The sequence below is a fragment of the Homo sapiens genome, chromosome 16 (assembly GCF_000001405.40).
Source record: "Homo sapiens chromosome 16, GRCh38.p14 Primary Assembly".
Lineage (NCBI taxonomy): Eukaryota > Metazoa > Chordata > Mammalia > Primates > Hominidae > Homo > Homo sapiens.
Genome location: NC_000016.10, coordinates 31,022,491 through 31,041,370, shown reverse-complemented (window position 1 = coordinate 31,041,370; position 18,880 = coordinate 31,022,491). Strand labels below are relative to the sequence as shown.

Sequence of the window (18,880 nt, the reverse complement as noted above, 5' to 3'; positions counted from 1 at the left end):
TGAAACCCCGTCTCTACTAAAAATACAAAAAATTAGCCGGGTGTGGTGGCGGGTGCCTGCAGTCCCAGCTACTCGGGAGGCTGAGGCAGGAGAATGGCGTGAACCTGGGAGACGGAGCTTGCAGTGAGCTGAGATAGTGCCACTGCACTCCAGCCTGGGCAAAAGAACAAGACTCTGTCTCAAAAAAAAAGAAAAAAAGAAATTTAGTCAGGGCTTGGATTTCAGGTACCTTATGGAAGAAATCAGAGGTCAGGCTTTTCTGCTGCCACCACCTGCTTCAGCCAGGTAACCCTCAGCAACCAGGTGCACTGATCCAGGATCACTGGCTCTCTATGCTGCTGCTGCTGCTGCTGCTGCTACTGATGATGATTGCTATTATTTTTGAGACAGGGTCTCGCTCTGTCACCCAGGATGGAGTGCAGTGGGATGACCATGGCTCACTGCAGCCTTAATCTCCTGGGCTCAAGCGATCCTCCCACCTCAGCCTCTGGAGTAGCTGGGACGACAGACACTTGCCATCACGCCTGGCTAATTTGTAAAATTATTATTCTCTAAAGAGAAGAGGTTGCCCCATCCTGCCTAGGCTGGTCTCAAGCTCCTGGGCTCAAGAGATCCTCCTGCCTGGGCCTCCCAAAGTGCTGGGATTACTGGTGCGAGCCACCACACCCTGCCTAAACGCTTATGTAAAAGATGATGCTTTTGTTGGTCACAGGGCCCGGCCTCCTGTGCTTTCTGACTGGCAACCTCTTCCCCAGCTTAACATCCCACTCCAATGTCATCCCTGCTGAAACCAGACCATCCCTATCCACTGCATCCAAAGTGACAGCCTCAATTAGGCATTTTTTCATGGTGCCTCTTCCTCTGGGCCACAAGAAGGCCCACTGATGCCACCCAAACCCCCATCTCACCTGCGTCCCAGCCTGGCCTGGTCAGCCTCATCATTTCCAAGACAGATACTCACAGTGGTCCTTTCCCGGGGACAGTACTGAGCCAGGAGCTAGATGCCGGTGTTACCCCTCCCTGCCCACCCATTCCTATGGGGGTGCAGAAAGGCAGAACCAGCCTGCTGTGGGCACAGCACCCCTGGCAGTTTGACCTGAGCAGCCAGGGCCAGACCTGGCCCTGGGGACGTCCAGGAGGTAAGGAGGTTGGATGCCCGGAAGCCTTGGGCCAGCCCTTCCAGGAACACACGTGCACAGGGCTTTCTATGCTCTTTTTTTGTTTTTTAATTTTTTACAAAACCGTGTGTCCCGGCCAATCAGGACAGTGCAGGCCTCCCCCAGGCATTGAGGCCTGAAGGAGGAGGCCATCATGAATGAGCAGCTGCCAACCCCAGAAGAACTGTCTGCCCTTCTGCATAGGGGCCAGTGTGAGGAAGGGGTCCGACTGGAGGCTCTGCCCTGCCCCCCAGGCTGCTGGGAGAGAAGGCCAGGCCCTGGGTTCCTGGTGCTCCTAGTGCCTGTAAGGAAAGGAGGGAGAACAGGGTCTGAGGGAGGAGGGAGGGCTGGGGCCAGGGCTGGGGCAGGCCAGGGGGCAGCCCACAACATCTCACCAACAATGTGCGACATTATCCAACCACTGTGACGCCAATGATGACTGCTAGGAGGACGACGGTGATGGACACACAGATGGCAATCAAGACTTTCTTCTGTGGGAGAGGAGGGGGTCAGGGAAGTCACACAGGGTGCCTGGGGCAGTGGCCGGGCCTGGGAGGCTCACCTTCCTCGCCTTCTTCTGGTTCTCCAGGGCCGTCTTGACGTGCTCCTGCCCACGTTCCACGTAGTCCGCTGAGCTCAGGATGTTCTTCTCAATCCGATTGATCATCTCCCCCTGCTCAGAGGATGGGGTGGTTCAGGGAGGTAAGGATGCCTTTGCCCACCCCACCCCAGATGACTGAAGAACATTCCTGGCAGGAAAAAAAAATTGCACTAACAAAGACAAGGGCAAGACTTGATCTGACAAAAGTTCAGACTCCTTGGGGATGGCTTCCAGGCCCCTTCTATCATGTAGTCCCTTGTCCCCTGCTCACTTATCCCATACAACCTCTATCTGCAGTGGTAGCTTGGAGCTAAGGGCCTCAAATGGCTCATACCTTTCACAGATGGTGAACTGTGCCTTCACAAATCTGTCTGAATTTACCCATTCTTCCAGGCCTATCTACAGCTGCTGCAAAGCCCTCCCTATCCCTGCCTCCTCCTGGCACCACCAGCCTCAGGTCTCAGTACTCCTACTGAATGAGATCTCTTTCCTGTAAGTCTCAGCTGCAAAAGGGCATTGGCTGTAGCATGACTGAGGCCAGCTCCTCCAGGACAGGGCTGGAAGCTCAACTCAACTCACAACCAGGGCCAGGGGAACGCCGCCCCCACCCCAGCCTTGTACAGATGTTAGGAGGCAGCCCCTCTAGGGCAACTCTGACTGGACCTCTGAGAGGTATAAGGGTGGATGCTGTTAGTGGAGGGGGAGTGAGGGCTGGGGCCAGACCTGGGCAGGCTCAAGTTTTGGAGAGGGGGCAGGGTGCTATGCAGAAGGGAGTGGGCATCTGTGTAGCAGCAGAGGCAGGTGCCATTCTCGGGGTACAGCTAAGGATAGGAATAAGCACCAATCTGGGGGCATGGCCAAACCTGGAAGACACAAAAGCCTCAGGGAGAGAATCTAAGGGTGGCGGGAGGCTGGCAGTTTGGACTGAGCCTGGTCTCACGTCTGGGGCTGCGCGGGGCACCCACCTGCATCTCCACTTCGGTAGCCAGAAAAGTGAATATGTCGTGCAGCTCACGAATACTGCGTTCAAGCTGCTGGATCTCACTGTGCCGGGCCGAGATCTCATTTAAGGCCTGTCGAGTCACCTGCGTGTCCTTCAGGATCTGGGGGGTGGACAGGAGTGGGGCAACTGTTCACAGGGAGACCGACAGCAGGTCAGAAACTCCTGTTGAGCTTCTGGGGAGCCCTCAGCCTGGAATCTGATGGGTGACTCCAGGCAGGCTAATTAATTCCCTTAGAGGCCTCAGGGTGCCCTTAATCAGAAAGGGCCACAGCAAGCGGGGTGCAGTGGCTTGCACCTATAGTCCCAGCTACTCGGGAGGCTGAGGCAGGAGGATCACCTGAGCCCAGGAGGTCGAGAAACGGACAGGACTCAGAGGGGATGGGAGGCACAGCAGAGAGGGGCTGGCTGTGGCCACTCACATTGGACACAAACACCTCGCTTTGCCCACTGTCCAGCATCTGCTCCAACTCCTCATCAGACACCATCCCAGCATTGGCTGTGAAGGAAAAGGCCAGGCTCAGGGTTGGGTTGGGATTACCTGCCCCTGCGGGCCAGGCTGGGCATGCACAACTCACTGATCTTCAGCTGCCTCCGAATCCGCTCCACGTTCTTCTCCCGGTATTCGGACTGCATTGAATTGCACTTGTTGATGAGCTCCACGAATTGCTGGGACAGGACCCCATGCTAAAGATGAAGAATATAGGCTGAGTGCCCCTGGGAGGATCCCTGCCCGGTCGGTGCCTCGGCAACCCCATAGTACAGTGAGCAAATAGCATGAGCTCTTATGCGGGATCTGCCACCTTAACCACCTTGTGATGACCTTGACAGGCTCCCCCATTTCTCTTAGACTAAAAGCCAAAGCCCTTATCAGGCCTATGTGGTCCTCCATGATCTTTTTTATTTATTTATTTATTTATTTATTTATTTATTTATTTATTATTTGTTTTTTGAGACAGAGTTTCACTCTTGTTGCCCAGGCTGGAGTGCAGTGGCACAATCTCGGCTCACTGCAACCTTGGCCTCCCGGGTTCAAGCAATTCTCTTGCCTCAGCCTCCCGAGTAGCTGGGACTACAGGCACGCGCCACCACGCACGGCTAATTTTTGTATTTTTAGTAGAGATGGGGTTTCACCATGTTGGCCAGGATGGTCTTGATCTCTTGACCTTGTGATCCACCTGCCTCGGCCTCCATTACAGGCGTGAGCCACTGCACCTGGCCTATTTTTATTTTTAATAGAGACAGGGTTGGCCGGGCACGGTGGCTCATGCCTGTGATCCCAGCACTTTGGGAGGCTGAGGCAGGTGGATCACCTGAGGTCAGGAGGTCAAGACCAGCCTGGCCAACGTGGTGAAACCCCATCTCTACTAAAAGTACAGAAATTAGCTTGGTGCAGTGGTGGGCGCCTGTAGTCCCAGCTACTTGGGAGGCTGAAGCAAGAGAATGGCTTGAACCCAGGAGGCGGAGGTTGCAGTGAGCAGAGATGGCACCACTGTACTCCAGCCTGGGCAACAGAGTGAGACCCTGTCTCAAAGGAAAAAAAAAAAAGGGGGGGGGGTCTCACTATATTGCCCAGGCTGGTCTCAAACTCCTGGGCTCAACCAATCCTCCCACCTCAGCCTCCAAAGTGCTGGGATTACAGGCGTGAGCCACGGTGCCTGGCTAGCCCTCTATGATCTCTCCTTCTCCCATGACCTCTCTGATCTTACTTCCTCTTACTGTTCCCTTCCTCTGCCCATCCACACTGGTCTCCTTACCCCTCCCTAGACAAAGCACACTCTCAGCTTAAGCCTTTGCATTCACTTTTCCTTCTACCTAGAATGCTCATTCCCAGCAAACACCTTTAAGTCTCTTGTTCAGATGTTACCTTCTGAATGAAGCTTCCTCCACCTGCTTTCAACTGCAACTCTACCTCCTCCAGCATGCTTAGTCCCTCTTCCCCTGCTCTTTTTTCCTTAATGCTTATTATGTTCTAAATAATTCACTTATTTATTATGGTGATTGTCTACACCAGAAGGGAAGTTCCATGAGGACAGGGATCACTGGTTCACTGCTGTATCCTAAACAGTTCCAAAAAGGTCTGGCACACAGTAGGCACCCAATATGTAACTGCTGAATGCTTGCTGAATGCCAACCTCGCTGCCTACACCACAGCTCCTACGCCTAGAGATGAACATGTTGCCTGGGCGAAACAGGTGCAACAGGCCCACATGGACCCTCAACCACTCATGCCAATCACCACCACAGGCTTCCCCAGAAACACTGGTTCTGGGGCATCTGCTCTGCCTTGCCCCTTCTTCTGAGGCCTTAAATATGCTCATTCCTTGGAGTTCCTTTTCCAGAGATACATCTGCTTTCCTGGTTCCAGCTTCACCCTTCCAAGATGCCCAAGCTGCTCCATCTTCAATCTGGGGTCCCTGCTGAGCCCTGGGCCCAACTACTCCAACCCTGACCTCCTGGTATCCTCCTCACTGGGGACCCAGAGAGGGCCAGTCAGATCACTGCAAATCTCCTTACTAAGATATCACCCCAGGGGCCGCGCGCGGTGGCTCATGCCTATAATCATAGCACTTTGCGAGGCCAAAGCAGGTGGATCAGTTGAGATCAGGAGTTCGAGACCAGCCTGGCCAACAAGGTGAAACCTCATTTCTACCAAAAATATAAAAAATTAGCCAGGTGTGGTGGTGCACACCTGTAATCCCAGCTACTCGTGAGGCTGAGGCAGGAGAATCGCTTGAAGGAGGTGGAGGTTGCAGTGAGCCAAGATTGTGCCACTGTACTCCAGCCTGAGGGACAGAGTGAGACTCCATCTCAAAAAAATAATAATAATTAAAAAAATAAGATATCACACCAGGGGAGTTCCTCTTCAGTGTTGCCCCAAGGAAGTTCCTCTTCCTGACTTCTTGAATTCCACCTGTGGGACTAAGGATGTCCCTGTCACATAGATAGGAAACCTGCCAGTCATTTATGACTTCTCACTCTCCTTCCCTGGGCAGCGCCGTTAGCCACCAGGTCCCACGTGAGTAATGTCTTTATCCCCTATTGAACCCTAACTCCTCATCTTGACTCCCAGAAAACATGTGTCCCAGCTGGGCATGGTGGCTCACGCCTGTAATTCAGCACTTTGGGAGGCCGAGGCAGGAGGGTCACCTGAGGTCAGGAGTTCGAAACCAGCCTGGCCAACATGGTGAAGCCCAGTCTCTACTAAAACTACAAAAATTAGCTGGGCATGGGGGTGTCCGCCTGTAATCCCAGCTATTCAGGAGGCTGAGGCAAAAAAAGAAAAGAAAACATGTGTCCCACAGCCAAGACTAGGTCTTGTCTGGGGTCACAGTAACTTCCTATTGAATGGAAGAAAATAAAGCAGGGTGTTATAACCGGACTGAGCATCAGGAGACCTGGCTTCCTGACCTTGAGCAAGTTCTTTCTCTCTCTGAGCTCAGTTTCCCCATTTGGAAAAGTCATCCAATTGGACTCCATGATCTCTGCAGGCCCTTCCTTCATACACCTGTCATCTAATACTTCATGAAACATTTGCTGAAATGTCCTCATTTCTGAGAAAAAAAACCCACCTGGGTTTTTCTCATTCTTGTGTTGACGGAGTTATAGTTCTCATCAGCTTCCTCCTTCTGGGGCTCTATGGCTGTGGGAAGACACAGGGGTATTGGGGGTACTTGTCTCCATAGGATTTTTAGGGAAATATAATTTATCATAAAATGACTAAGGCTGAGCCTCTAAGAGGAGAAAGTAAGTTTATTTTTCTTTGCATTACATCACTGAGTTCCCATAGGTATGCAGAGGCCACCTAACAAAACTCCATCTCCCTGCCCAAAGAATGCCCAGTGGGCAGCGATAACTGTGTAAGTAAATGGTTTCATTGTAAATAAAAGAACCTGAGAGGCGGACTTGTGCTGTGGAGAGTACAATGGCCTGGAGGCCAGGAGACAGATGCTAGACCCAGGCCTGCTGTGTGACCTGGATATATCACTGGCTTCTCTGGGCCACACACTCCCCAGATATACCAACAACAGGGCAGGATCAGAGGGAAGGATCTGTCTGAGGTCCCAGGAGCTCACCCTTCAGCTGCAGGCGGATCTCCCTCCCCAGCTGTTTGATCTCATCGCGCAGGTTCTGCAGCTCCTGCTTCATGCCTGAATAAGAGAAGGCCAAGACTCCCAAACAGCAGCCCCCACCTCAACAAACCACTCTGGCCACCACCTGCGTGGAACTACAACCCCCACAATCCCTGGGGCGGAGCATGCGCCCTGCAGCCGGGGTTTCACTCACTCTCCTCGGGAAGGGGCGTGGCCAGGATGGTGACCTGCTGTTTCTCCAACTCCTGGACTTTATTCCCCAGTTTGACAATAGTCTGCCGAATTGTCCGGACCTGGGGAGGGTGACCGAGAGGGCTGAAAGAGATATGGGGTACTCCAGACCACGCTACTCCTCGGGTCCTCCTACACCCTCGCGAATCCAGGCGGAGACCCCAGCCCCTTACCTTGTGGAAGAACTCCTCGTCCGGGCTCCCCAGCCGTGCCGTGCCCGGGTGCACCACCAGCGCGACCCGCTCCTTGTCCTCTTCGTCCGAGCTGTCATCCCCCTGCCAGGCCCGGAGTCATTGGCACCACCGTTTCGCTGCGGCTCTTACCCCGCAGGACCCACAGGCTTCCGGGACTTTCCTTCCTGGCCATCAGCCACCCCTCCCTATCCCGAAGACCAGAAGTCCTGCGTTCCAGTTCGTCCGCCCGTCCCCATCCCCGCTGCCCTGGCGTCTCACCTGTCTCAGCTCGTGGGTCCTGTCCCGCATGGCGGCCTGAGCTCTCCCTCCCCGGCGCCAGAGCCGGGAGGCCCTCAAATTTGGAATTCCCGTACCCCGCTCACACTCTGACACTCCCCTCCCTCCCCCTGCGGACCCCAACACCCCCACGAGCCGCCAGAGGCTCCGTCCCTTGCACCGCCCACAGTCAATGGGAAGGCGCCGACCCCGGGGACCCCCCAAGGTTCCACAGGTTGGAATTCCCTTTTCTTCCCCGCTCCAGCTCCCGCAGCCTCAGCCCCGCCCCTCCGTGATAAATTCGGGGCATGCGCACATGGTCGCGTCTCTTCCTTGCCCGAGGCTGGGAAGGTGGAGTCGGAAGTTGTTGCGCCCCGAGCGGAAGCGGAGATGCCTGGACGCGAGAACTTGCTACCGTCACCGGAACCGTTGCATCTTCCAACGGAAATCTGGTTGCCAAAAGGGGTAGGAATACGTCATTTGTACGTAATCCGAGACACCCGCATCTCACATCACCCCATGGTGCCCCCACCGCGTCACGTGACCAGCCCGGTCCCAAACTCGTGGACCGCAGAATGTGACCCTGTGACTGTCACGTGTCCCGGCTCTGTCACCGCCGTCTCTGGGACGCCGTTCTCATCACGACGTCCCCGGCACCCCAACGACCGAGCGACGCCCACACGGCCCCCGCGAGGTGGGGAGGGGCGCGCCGACCACCCCCAGAGGCCTTTCGAGGCAGTGGGTGGTAGGACCCTTGCTGACCTCGCCTTTATTGCTTTCGGGTCCAGGGCGTGGGCGGACTGACGACTTAGCATTTGGGGCTGTCAGCATCATGGGACCTTGAAAATCGGGAAATAATAGGATCCGAGTCGTCAGCGTCAGAAAATTGCAGGGTTGTGTGGGCAGGGAATCTGGGGGTGGGAAGTGACCTCAGCCAAGGCAGAAATCTCTTCTTCCGCATCCTTCTGGCGCAGCCTCTGACAGGTGGGCGGCCAGCCGGCGCCCTCCTTGAACACTGCAGCCCGGCTGCACTCACCACCTTGTGAGCCGTCAGACCATGTCAGGGCAGCTCAGGCTAAGAAAAGTGTTTGTATTGATCACGCTGCCTCCCTGCCACTCACACCCCCCAGCCCCTGCCTTGCATCTGAGGCCAGGTAATGACTTTGTTCTTAACTGAATCTGGGGAGTTCCTAGCCCAGTACCAAGAACATTACGGGCCCTCTATAAATACTTGTGGACAGAATTTCAGGCTTTCATGTATCTGAGGATAAAGCCCCTGGTTCCTTGGTCTTCTTTAGGCTTCAGGCTTTCTGACTGTGACACTTCTCTAATCCTGGCTATCTAGATATTCACTCATTTTTTATTTTTAAAAATTTTTACGAGATGCGGTCTCACTATGTTGTCCAAGCTGGTCTCTAACTCCTGGGCTTAAGCAATCCTTCTGCCTCAGCTTCCCAAAGTGCTGGGATTACAGGCATGCACCACCATGCACAGCAACATTCAGTCATTTAATGGATATTTTTTGGGCACATAGTATGGGCCAAACACTGTTCTAGGGCTGGAGATACATCAAGGACTAATAGACAAAAATTCCTGCACTCGTGGAACTTATATTCTCTAGAAGGAGTCCCCAAGGTCACTCAGCAAGTCTCAGCATAGCCGGGAATGAATAACAGGTCTCCTGGACCCCAGGGCTCTGTCCAGGAAGCTTCTGTGAAGGTACAAGCAAGGAAAGGAATGGACCCTTTCTGCTATGCCCTGGTCAGGAAACCTAGATTCCTGGGACTGAGTTGCTATGGACTTCTGGAAATCGCTTCCTGTCTCTAAGTGTGGATCTCCCTCTGCACAGTGGGTAACTGTAGGGGGATGGGGAGATCATCTTTATGGGTATCGGCTGCTCTAAACTTCAGTGATGATGAGGTTGGAAACTGTCAAGTGCTGTGTGATTCTATGTGAGGAGTTTTGGCTCTTCTCCTCTTCCTGTTAAAACCCAGCTCAGGCAGGGTGTGGTGGCTCATGCCTGTAATCCCAGCACTTTGGGAGGCTGAGGCAGGCAGATCACCTGAGGCCAGGAGTTGGAGACCAGCCTGGCCAACATGGCGAAACCCTGTCTCTACAAACATACAAAAATTAGCCAGGCATGATGGCAGGTGCCTGTAATCCCAGCTACTTGGGAGGCTGAGACAGGAGGATTGCTTGAACATGGGAGGTGGAGGTTACAGTGAGCTGAGATCACGCCATTGCACTCCAGCCTAGGTGACAGAGTAAGACTCTGTCTCAAAAACAAAACAAAACAAAAAAAAAAAACCCAGCTAGTAGGAGAGTGGTGCCCTGATGAACCCACAGAGGGAATGCAGGGTTTTTCCGGAGGCCAAGCCCTGCCCAGTGGTGTCCCCTGGAGATGATAAGGAAAGATTCTCTGCTCCTGGGTCTTTCATGTCAGCCTCTGCCTCTTCAGTCACTGCTGCTTGCCTCCTGCATCTTTTGTCCCCTGCCACCCGACCCCCTTCCCCCTCCTACTCTGTGTCTCTGAGTGGCACACGGTGGAAGGGCTCTTGGACCCCTGACTCATAGTCCTGCATGGGATCTTAAATAATGCATTACTTCTCTCTGGGACTCAATTTCCCCATTTGGCGGCTTGGTCCTATAATTTCTGCCTTGCCTAAGGTAGGACTTGAACACTATCAAGTGAGGTTAGGAAGGATGTGGAAGGGGCTGGAAAACTGTTGAGGGTACCCTCCCCTCTGGGCTTTTTTTTTTTTTTTTTTTTCTTCTCTTTGAGGTCAGGTCTGGTTCTGTCATCCAGGCTGGAGTGCAGTGGTGTGCTCTCAGGTTCAGTCAATCCTCCTGCCTCAGCCTCCCAAGTAGCTGGTACTAAGGCACGCACCACCATGCCTGGCTAATTTTTGTATATTTTTTGGTAGAGACTGGGTTTCGCCATGTTGCCCAGGCTGTTCTCAAACCCCTGGGCTCAAGTGATCCACCCACCTTGGCCTCCCAAAGTGCTGGGATTACAGGTGTGAGCCACTGTGCCCAGCCTCTCTGAGCTTTTAATACTGTGGGTTCCAGCGTCTTCTGGGCCCCCTGGTCCCATCTTCCTCTTTGTTTCTCAGCGTCTTGATGGCATGCCATCTTGGTCCACTAAACTTCTCAGGATTATAATATTATTTCACTTGTGGTCTCTGGGTGAGATCGCAGGGCTTTGGAATGGTGACTTAAGGTCACAGGAAGCTGGACTCCAAGCCTTGTGGTGGAATATGGAGAGGAAAGAGGCCATTTAGAGAGATTGGCGCTGGGGGTGGAGCTCTCCAGAGCTGAGCCCTTTGTTCCTCTCAGGCCCTCTGAGCAGCCTTGACGGGGATATTAACTATATTAGGCTAGGTGCAGTGGCTCATGCCTGTGATCCCAGCACTTTAGGAGGCCAAGGGTGTATCACTTGAAGCCAGGAGTTCGAGAGCAGCCTGGGCAACATAGCGTCTGTCTCTACAAAAAAAATCTTAATTACCCAGGTGTGCTGGCGCTCTCCTGTAGTCCCAGCTACTCAGGAGGCTGAGGCAGGAGGATCACTTGAGTCCCTGAGGTCAAGGGTACAGTCAGCAGTGATCTTGCCACTGCACTCCAGCCCGGGTGACAGAGTGAGATCCTGTATAAAAAAAAAAAAAAAAAAAAGTAGGGTGGGTGCAGTGGTTCACGCCTGTAATCCTAGCACTTTGGGAGGCTGAGGCAGGAGAATCCTTTGAGCCCAGGACTTGAGACCAGCCTGGGCAACATGCCAAGACCTTATCTCTGTTTTTGTTGTTGTTGTTTGTTTGTTTGTTTGTTTTGAGACGTAGTCTCGCTCTGTCTCCCAGACTGGAGTGCAGTGGCACGATCTCAGCTCACTGCAGCATCCGCCTCCTGAGTTCAAACAATTCTGCCTCAGCCTCCCAAGTAGCTGAGATTACAGGTGCACACCACCGCGCCCAGCTCATTTTTGTATTTTTAGCAGAGATGGGGTTTCACCATATTGGCCAGGCTGGTCTCGAACTCCTGACCTCGTGATCCTCCCGCCTCGTGATCTGCCTGCCTCGGCCTCCCGAAGTGCTGGGGTTACAGGCATGAGCCACTGTGCCCAGCCTAAGACCTCATCTCTAATTAGATTTTTAAAAAATAATTAAAAATAAATAAATAGAAGTAAAAATAAAGTTTAAAAAAGTGTATTGGGTCTTGGGTGTGTGGGTGGTGGGCGTGTATATTCGCTCCAGACTGTGCAGCTGTTGGGGGGTGGGGTGTGTTTCTTAACTTCTACACTATGATCCAAGGAAAATACCAGCTGGGGTGGCTTCCCGTGTTCCACCCACCCTTGGGGGCTTGCTGTCACCTATTGCTTTGGACTGTCTTGGGGGAGGAGTGGGTGGACTGCCGGCCCCACTAAGCCTTCTCCCGCCCCTGTCACAGGTCCTCTCCCACACCTGCTAGGTTGGAGCCAACTACTGGAGAGGTTGTTGATCCTGTCTTGCTCTACCCAGTCCTGAGGCTTGGCAATTTGTCTTGTCCCCTCTACCTGTGGGTCCAGACCTATCCACATGGGAGCCAGATGACCTGGGTTGGAATCCCAGCCCATTCACCCACTGTAATAACTCTAGGAGGCAAGTTATATAACCTTTCTATACCTCAGTTCTCATTTTTTTTTGTTTTTGTTTTTGTTTTTGTTTTTTTGGTTGTTGTTGTTTTTTGAGACAGAGTCTCTCCAGGTCACCAGGCTAGAATGCAGTGGTGTGATTTTGGCTCACCGCAGCCTCCACATCCTGGGTTCAGGTGATTCTCCTGCCTCAGCTTCCCGAGTAGCTGGGATTACAGGTGCCCACCACCAAGCCGGCTAATTTTATATTTTTAGTAGAAATGGGGCTTCTCCATGTTGGTCAGGCTGGTCTCAAACTCCCGACCTCAGGTGATCCACCCGCCTTGGCCTCCCAGAATGCTGGGATTATAGGCATGAGCCACCGTTCCCGGCCCTCACCAAGGCTGGCAGATCACCTGAAGTCCGGGGTTCGAGACCAGCCTGACCAACATGGAGAAACCCCGTCTCTCCTAAAAATACAAAATTAGCCGGGCGTGGTGGCACATGCCTGTAATCCCAGCTACTTGAGAGGCTGAGTCAGGAGAATCGCCTGAACCTGGGAGGCGGAAGTTGCAGTGAGCCAAGACTGCGCCATTGTACGCTGGGGGCAACAAGAGCGAAACTCCATCTCAAAAAAAAGAAACAGAAAAATCCAAATAATAATAGCACCATATTCATAGGACTGCTGTAAAGATGAAGTGATATTTGTAAAGCAAACAGAACAGCACCTGGTGTGGAATGTCAGTATGTCAGTGCTTCCTGCTGTTGTATGACGGCGATGATTGTTACTCTGAATCTTTTAGCAGCTCTAATGTCTCTGCTAGAGGGTCCATGTTGCTGCCTATCTGGGGACTTCCTTCTGCTCTCCGTCTTCTGGGTCCCACTGTGCACCAGGGCCAGGGCTATCAGCCTTGCCAGCTCACACCCATCTCTTGTGTCTCCACTTGGAGCTGACATACCATATATTTTGCTAATTTATTTACATATTGAGCTAGGCATGGTGGCTCATGCCTGTAATCTCAGCACTTTGGGAGGCTGAGGCAGGAGGATTGCTTGAGCTCAGGAGTTTGAGACTAGTCTGGACGACATAGTGAGACCCCATCTCTACAAAATAAAAAATAAGGCCGGGTGCGGTGGCTCACACCTGTAATCCCAGCACTTTGGGAGGCTGAGGTGGGTGGATCACCTGAGGTCAGGAGTTTGAGACCAGCCTGGCCAACATGGAGAAACGCTGTCTCTACTAAAAATACAAAAATTAGCCGGGTGTGGTGGTGCATGCCTGTAATCCCAGCTACTGGGGAGGCTGAGGCAAGAGAATCACTTCAACCTGGAAGGCAGAGGTTGCAATGAGCCAAGATCACGCCACTGCACTCCAGCCTGGGAGACAGAGTGAGACTCTGTCTCAAAAAATAAATAAATAAATAATTTAAATAAATAAAATATTAGCTGGGTATGGTGGCACGCACCTGTAGTCCCAGCTACTTGGGAAGCTGGGACAGAAGGATTGCTTGAGGCCAGTAGTTAAAGGCTGCAGTGAGCTATGATTGTGCCAGTGCACTCCATCCTGGGTGACAGAGTAGGGCCCTGTCTCAGAAAAAATTTTTTTAATAAAAAATAAAGGCCAGGCATGGTGGCTTACTTCTGTAATCCAAGCATTTTGGGAGGCTGAGGCGGGCAGATCACCTGACATCAGGAGTTCGAGACCAACCTGGCCAACATGGTGAAACCCCGTCTATGCTAAATATAAAAATAGGCCGGGCACGGTGGCTCACACCTGTAATCCCAGCACTTTGGGAGGCCGAGGCGGGTGGATCACGAGGTCAGGAGATCGAGACCATCCTGGCTAACACGGTGAAACCCCGTCTCTACTAAAAATACAAAAACATTAGCTGGGCGTGGTGGCGGGTGTCTGTAGTCTCAGCTGCTCAGGAGGCTGAGGCAGGAGAATGGTGTGAACCTGGGAGGTGGAGCTTGCAGTGAGCCGAGATCACGCCACTGCACTCCAGCCTGGGCGACTGTGCAAGACTCTGTCTCAAAAAAAAAAAAAAAAAAAAAAAAAAAAAAAATTGGCCGGGCGTGGTGGCTCACACCTATAATTTTAGCACTTTGGGAGGCCAAGGCGAGTGGATTGCCTGAGCTCAGGAGTTTGAGACCAGCCTGGGCAATACAGTGCAACCCCGTCTCTACTAAAATATAAAAAATTAGCCAGATGTGGTGGTGTGCACCTGTAATCCCAGCTACTCTGGAGTCTGAGGCAGGCGAATCACTTGAACCCAGGAGGTGGAGGTTGCAGTGAGCCGAGATCGTGCCATTGCTCTCCTGCCTGGGCAACAGAACCGAGACTCCATCTCAAAAAAAAAAAAAATTTTACGTATTGTCTGTTATCACTGCTCCCCCGTCAACTAGAATGTAAGCTCCACAGGACAAGGGTTTTCGCCTGCCTTACCCCCAGTTGTGCCCCCAGCACCTACAACAGTGCCTGGTACACAGTAGCCACTTGACAAATACTCACAAATGAATGAAATTATTTCTTATTCAATATTTATAAAGCACTTTATGTGCCAGACACTAACATAAGCACTTTATTAACTCATTTAATCTCATAACAGTTTTATGAGGGAGGTACTATTACTGTTCTCATTTTATAAAGGAAGGAGTGGAGGCACAGAGAAATTGAGGAACTTGCCTGAGGTTACACAGCCAGTAAAGGATACAGCCGGAATTTTAACCCAGATGCTGGAGCTCCACAGTTTGTATTTTTTCGTTGTTATTGATGTTGAGACAGGGTCTTGCTTTGTCACCCAGCCTGGAGTTCAGTGGTGCGATCATGCCTCACTGAAGACTTGAATTCGTGGGCTCAAGGGATCCTCTCACCTCGGCTTACTGAGAGTAACTGGGACCGTAGACGAGTGCCACTATGTCTGGCTAATTATTTTATTTTATTTTTTTGTACAAATGGGGTCTCATTATGTTGTCCAGGCTGGTTTCAAACTCCTGGTCTCAAGCAGTCCTCCCACCTGGGCTTCCCAAAGTGCTGGGATTACAGGCGTGAGCCACCGCTCCCGGCCCATACTGTTTGTACTCCTAACCACTGCACTGTGATCCCAGGGAAATACCAGTTCGGGTGGCCGTGTTCCACCTACCCTTGGGGACTTGCTGCCACCTATTGATATCCTGCTTTGGACTGTCTGGGGGAGGAGGGGCAGATGACTTATACCCACTGAGCCTCCCCCGGCCCCCGTCTCAGGTCTCTGCCACACCGCTGGGTTAGGGCTGATTGCCAGCGAGGTTATTGTTCCTCCCCTTCTCCCTGTGAGCTGTGTCCCAAGCAGCCAAAGATATCCACACAGGACTCAAGTAAGGGCTGCAGTTAACCCTACAGACATCTCTGAGGCTATTTCTGTGCCAAGCCCTAAGGGCCATGGAGACGATACACCCCCATAGCTCTCTCCCCATGGGCATGTTTTGGGCTTAAACTTGACCACTCCCTAGAGTTTCATCTGAGACCCTCTCTTCCTCAAACTATTTACATACTCTTGTGGCTTTGAATAACCGTATGCTGGCCTGCAAGTCCCTATCTCCAGCCCCAAATTTCTCCTAACTCCAGACCCTTGAATCCACTTGCCTCCTGGAGGTCCCACAGACATTTTAAGCTGAAAGTGTCCCAAACAGGAAGCATTGCCTCCCACTGAGAACCTCCTGAGCCAGCCACTCTTCCTCCTGTTTCCCATCCACGTGGATGACACTGTCATAATTTTACAATTGGGTCACTCATGTCATAATTTTGGCCCTGAACTTTATTCCTTTTTTTTTTCTTTGAGACAGAGTTTTGCTGTTGTTGCCCAGGCTGGAGTGCAGTGGCTCGATCTCGGCTCACTGCAGCCTCCACCTCCCGGGTTCAAGCAATTCTCCTGCCTCAGCCTCCCGAGTAGCTGGGATTACAGGCATGCGCCACCACACCTGGCTAATTTTGTATTTTTTAGTAGAGACGGGGTTTCTCCATGTTGGTCAGGCTGGTCTCGAACTCCCTACCTCAGGTGATCTGCCCACCTTGGCCTCCCACACTGCTGGGATTACAGGCATGAGCCACCGCACCCGGCCCTATTCCTTTTTGTTGTTGTTGTTGTTGTTGAGATGGAGTTTCACTCTTGTTGCCCAGGCTGGAGTGCAATGGTGCAATCTTGCCTCACTGCAACTTCTGCCTTCCAGGTTCAAGAAATTCTCCTGCCTCAGCCTCCCGAGTAGCTGGGAACACAGGCACAGGCACACCCCACCACTCCTGGCTAATTTTTGTATTTTTAATAGAGACAGTGTTCCACTACGTTGCCAAGGCTGGTCTCAAACTCCTGGCCTCAGATGATCTGCCCACCTTGGCCTCCCAAAGTGCTGGAATTACAGGCATCAGCCACCGCACCCGGCCTGCCCTGAACTTTATTGTAAAGGTGATGGATCATACAATTTGTTTGGATAAACTATATTAAAATGGTAGAAGAGGCTGGGCACGGCGGCTTATGCCTGTAATCCCAACACTTTGGGAGGCCGAGGTGGGTGGATCATTTGAGGTCAGAAGTTCGAGACCGGCTTGGCCAACATAGTGAAACCCCGCCTCTACTAAAAGGAGTAGTACTCCTCTACTAAGTGGAGTGCACTGACACAAAAATTAGCCGGGCATGGTGGCACACCCCTGTAGTCCCAGCTACTCAGGAGACTGACGCAGGAGAATCGCTTGAACCCAGGAGATGGAGGTTGCAGTGAGCCAAGATTGCACCACTGTACCCCAGCCTAGGTGACAGAGCGAGACTCTGTCTCAAAAAAAAAAAAAAAAAAAAAAATTAAATAAAATGCTAGAAGAAAATATGGTCAAAATCTTTTATAACTTCTGGAGTGAGGAAGGCCCTTCCAACTCCAACTCAGAATACAGAAACTGTAAAAGAAGAGATTAATACCTTTGTCTACATACAACAATTCTGCATGGCAAAAAACATCATAAGTAAAATCAAAAGACAACTGTTGGGGCGCAGTGGCTCATGCATGTAGTCCCAGCACTTTGAGAGGTCGAGGTGGGAAGATCACTTGAGGCCAGGAGTTGGAGACCAGCCTGAGCAACATGTTGAAACTCCATCTGTACTAAAAATACAAAAACTAGCTGGGTGTGGTAGTGAACACCTGTAACCCCAGCTACTCGGGATGCTGAGGCACAAGAATCGCTTGAACTGGGGAGGCAGAGGCTGTAGGGAGCTGAGATCATGCCACTGCACTCCAGCCTGGGCAACAGAGCAAGACCCCCTGTCTCAGGAAAAAAAAAAAAACTGGGAAAAATATTTGCAGCTATTATTGCATACAACGGTCTAATCTCCCTACTGTTTAAAGAGCTCTCATATATTGATAAGAAAGACCGGTAGTTCAACAAAAAATGGGCAAAGAACATGACAGTTCACAAAAACAATAAGGCCTTAGACACATATACAGATGTAAGTTTGGCAAAACACTCTTTTGGCAAGATTGTGGGGAGATGGGTCCTTTCACCCATTGTTGGTGGGAATGGAAAATGATACAAGCCAGAAAATGTTTATCAAAATTACAAATGTATTTACATTTTGTTTTATTGTTGTTGTTTTGAGCAGGGTCTCTTTAACACAGGCGGGAGTACAGTGGTACAATCGCAGCTCACTGCAACCTTGATCTCCTGGGCTTAGGTGATCCTCTTGCCTCAACCTCCTAAGTAGCTGGGACCACAAGCACACACCACCACACCCAGCTAATTTTAAAAGTTATTTGTAGAGACAGGGTCTCGCTATGTTGTCCAGGCTGGTCTCAAACTCAAGCAATCCCCTTGCCTCAGCCTCCTAAAGTGCTGGGATGACAGGCATGGGCCACTTCACCCAGCTGCATTTATACTTTGTTTTTTGTTTTTTTTTTTTTTGGAAACAGAATTTCACTCTTGTTGCCCAGGGTGGAGTGCAATGGTGCAGTCTCAGCTCACCGCAACCTCTGCCTCCCGGGGTCAAGTGATTCTCCTGCCTCAGCTTCCTGAGTAGCTGGGATTACAGCCATGAGCCACCACGCCTGGCTAATTTTGGATTTTTAGTAGAGACGGGGTTTCTCCATGTTGGTCAGGCTGGCCTTGAACTCTTTACCTCAGGTGATCTGCCCGCCTCGACCTCCCAAAGTGCGGGATTACAGGCATGAGCCACCGCGCCCAGCAAGCATTTACACTTTGAACCAGTCATCTTACTTCTGAAAATCTATCTGAAAGAGATTTCTGTTTTATCAGTTAGCTACTCTTGGGTAAAAAACCACTCCCAAACCTTGAGTTTTCTTACCGAGATAAACAACAATGTATTGTTTCTCCAGATTCTGAGAGGAGCTGGGTGGCTTGTATTATATAAGTGACTGCAGTCAGCTGGCACCGCGGCTGGGGCTGGATGGCCCAAGATGGACTCACTCACCTGTTGTCTGCTATCCTAGCTCTGATGACTAGGTTGGCAGGAACAGTTGAGCCACTCCCAGCATGTTACATTTCATCCTGGGTTTCTTCTTAGCGTAATGGCCTTAGACTTCCAGGAAAGTGAAAGTGGAAACAGTAACAAAATCTTGAGGCCTTGCTCAGAATTTGCACATGACTTCTACCACATTCTGTTAGCCAAAGCAAGTCTCAAGTCCACACCAACTTCAAAGGTTGGGGAAATAGAATTTTAATTCAACACGTCTGCGCATGTATGAAATGACCCATCCAATGTAATTCACC

The 18,880-nt window shown here is 51.6% G+C and overlaps 1 protein-coding gene across 6 annotated transcripts, besides 2 other annotated features; it reads right to left on the bottom strand.

Moving 5' to 3' along the window:
• Positions 1–1,202: 1,202 nt before the first annotated feature.
• STX4 (syntaxin 4) lies at positions 1,203–8,276 on the bottom strand. Of its 6 annotated transcripts, NM_001272096.1 has the most exons (12): positions 8,065–8,276; positions 7,849–7,981; positions 7,257–7,358; positions 7,046–7,167; positions 6,835–6,909; positions 6,331–6,401; positions 3,337–3,445; positions 3,181–3,257; positions 2,724–2,861; positions 1,720–1,830; positions 1,553–1,648; positions 1,203–1,459 (listed from the first exon to the last, which is right to left on the bottom strand). In NM_001272096.1, coding segments are annotated over exons 2-11 (888 nt in total). In that variant the 5' UTR covers positions 7,851–7,981; positions 8,065–8,276; the 3' UTR covers positions 1,203–1,459; positions 1,553–1,567. The 6 variants fall into 6 exon arrangements, with proteins under 6 accessions (NP_001259025.1, XP_005255578.1, NP_001259024.1 ...); XM_005255521.2 differs by lacking the exon at positions 8,065–8,276 and having other exon boundaries at positions 7,536–7,880; NM_004604.5 differs by lacking the exons at positions 7,849–7,981; positions 8,065–8,276 and adding an exon at positions 7,536–7,813 and having other exon boundaries at positions 1,207–1,459; positions 7,046–7,145.
• Positions 6,955–7,465: an enhancer, noted in NCBI's record as "H3K27ac hESC enhancer chr16:31045227-31045737 (GRCh37/hg19 assembly coordinates)". NCBI's record gives its function as "activates a minimal SCP1, AML or CMV promoter by ChIP-STARR-seq in naive H9 embryonic stem cells {active_cell/tissue: H9 hESC(naive)}" and the evidence as "EXISTENCE:reporter gene assay evidence [ECO:0000049][PMID:30033119]".
• Positions 7,978–8,489: an enhancer, noted in NCBI's record as "H3K27ac-H3K4me1 hESC enhancer chr16:31044203-31044714 (GRCh37/hg19 assembly coordinates)". NCBI's record gives its function as "activates a minimal SCP1, AML or CMV promoter by ChIP-STARR-seq in naive H9 embryonic stem cells {active_cell/tissue: H9 hESC(naive)}" and the evidence as "EXISTENCE:reporter gene assay evidence [ECO:0000049][PMID:30033119]".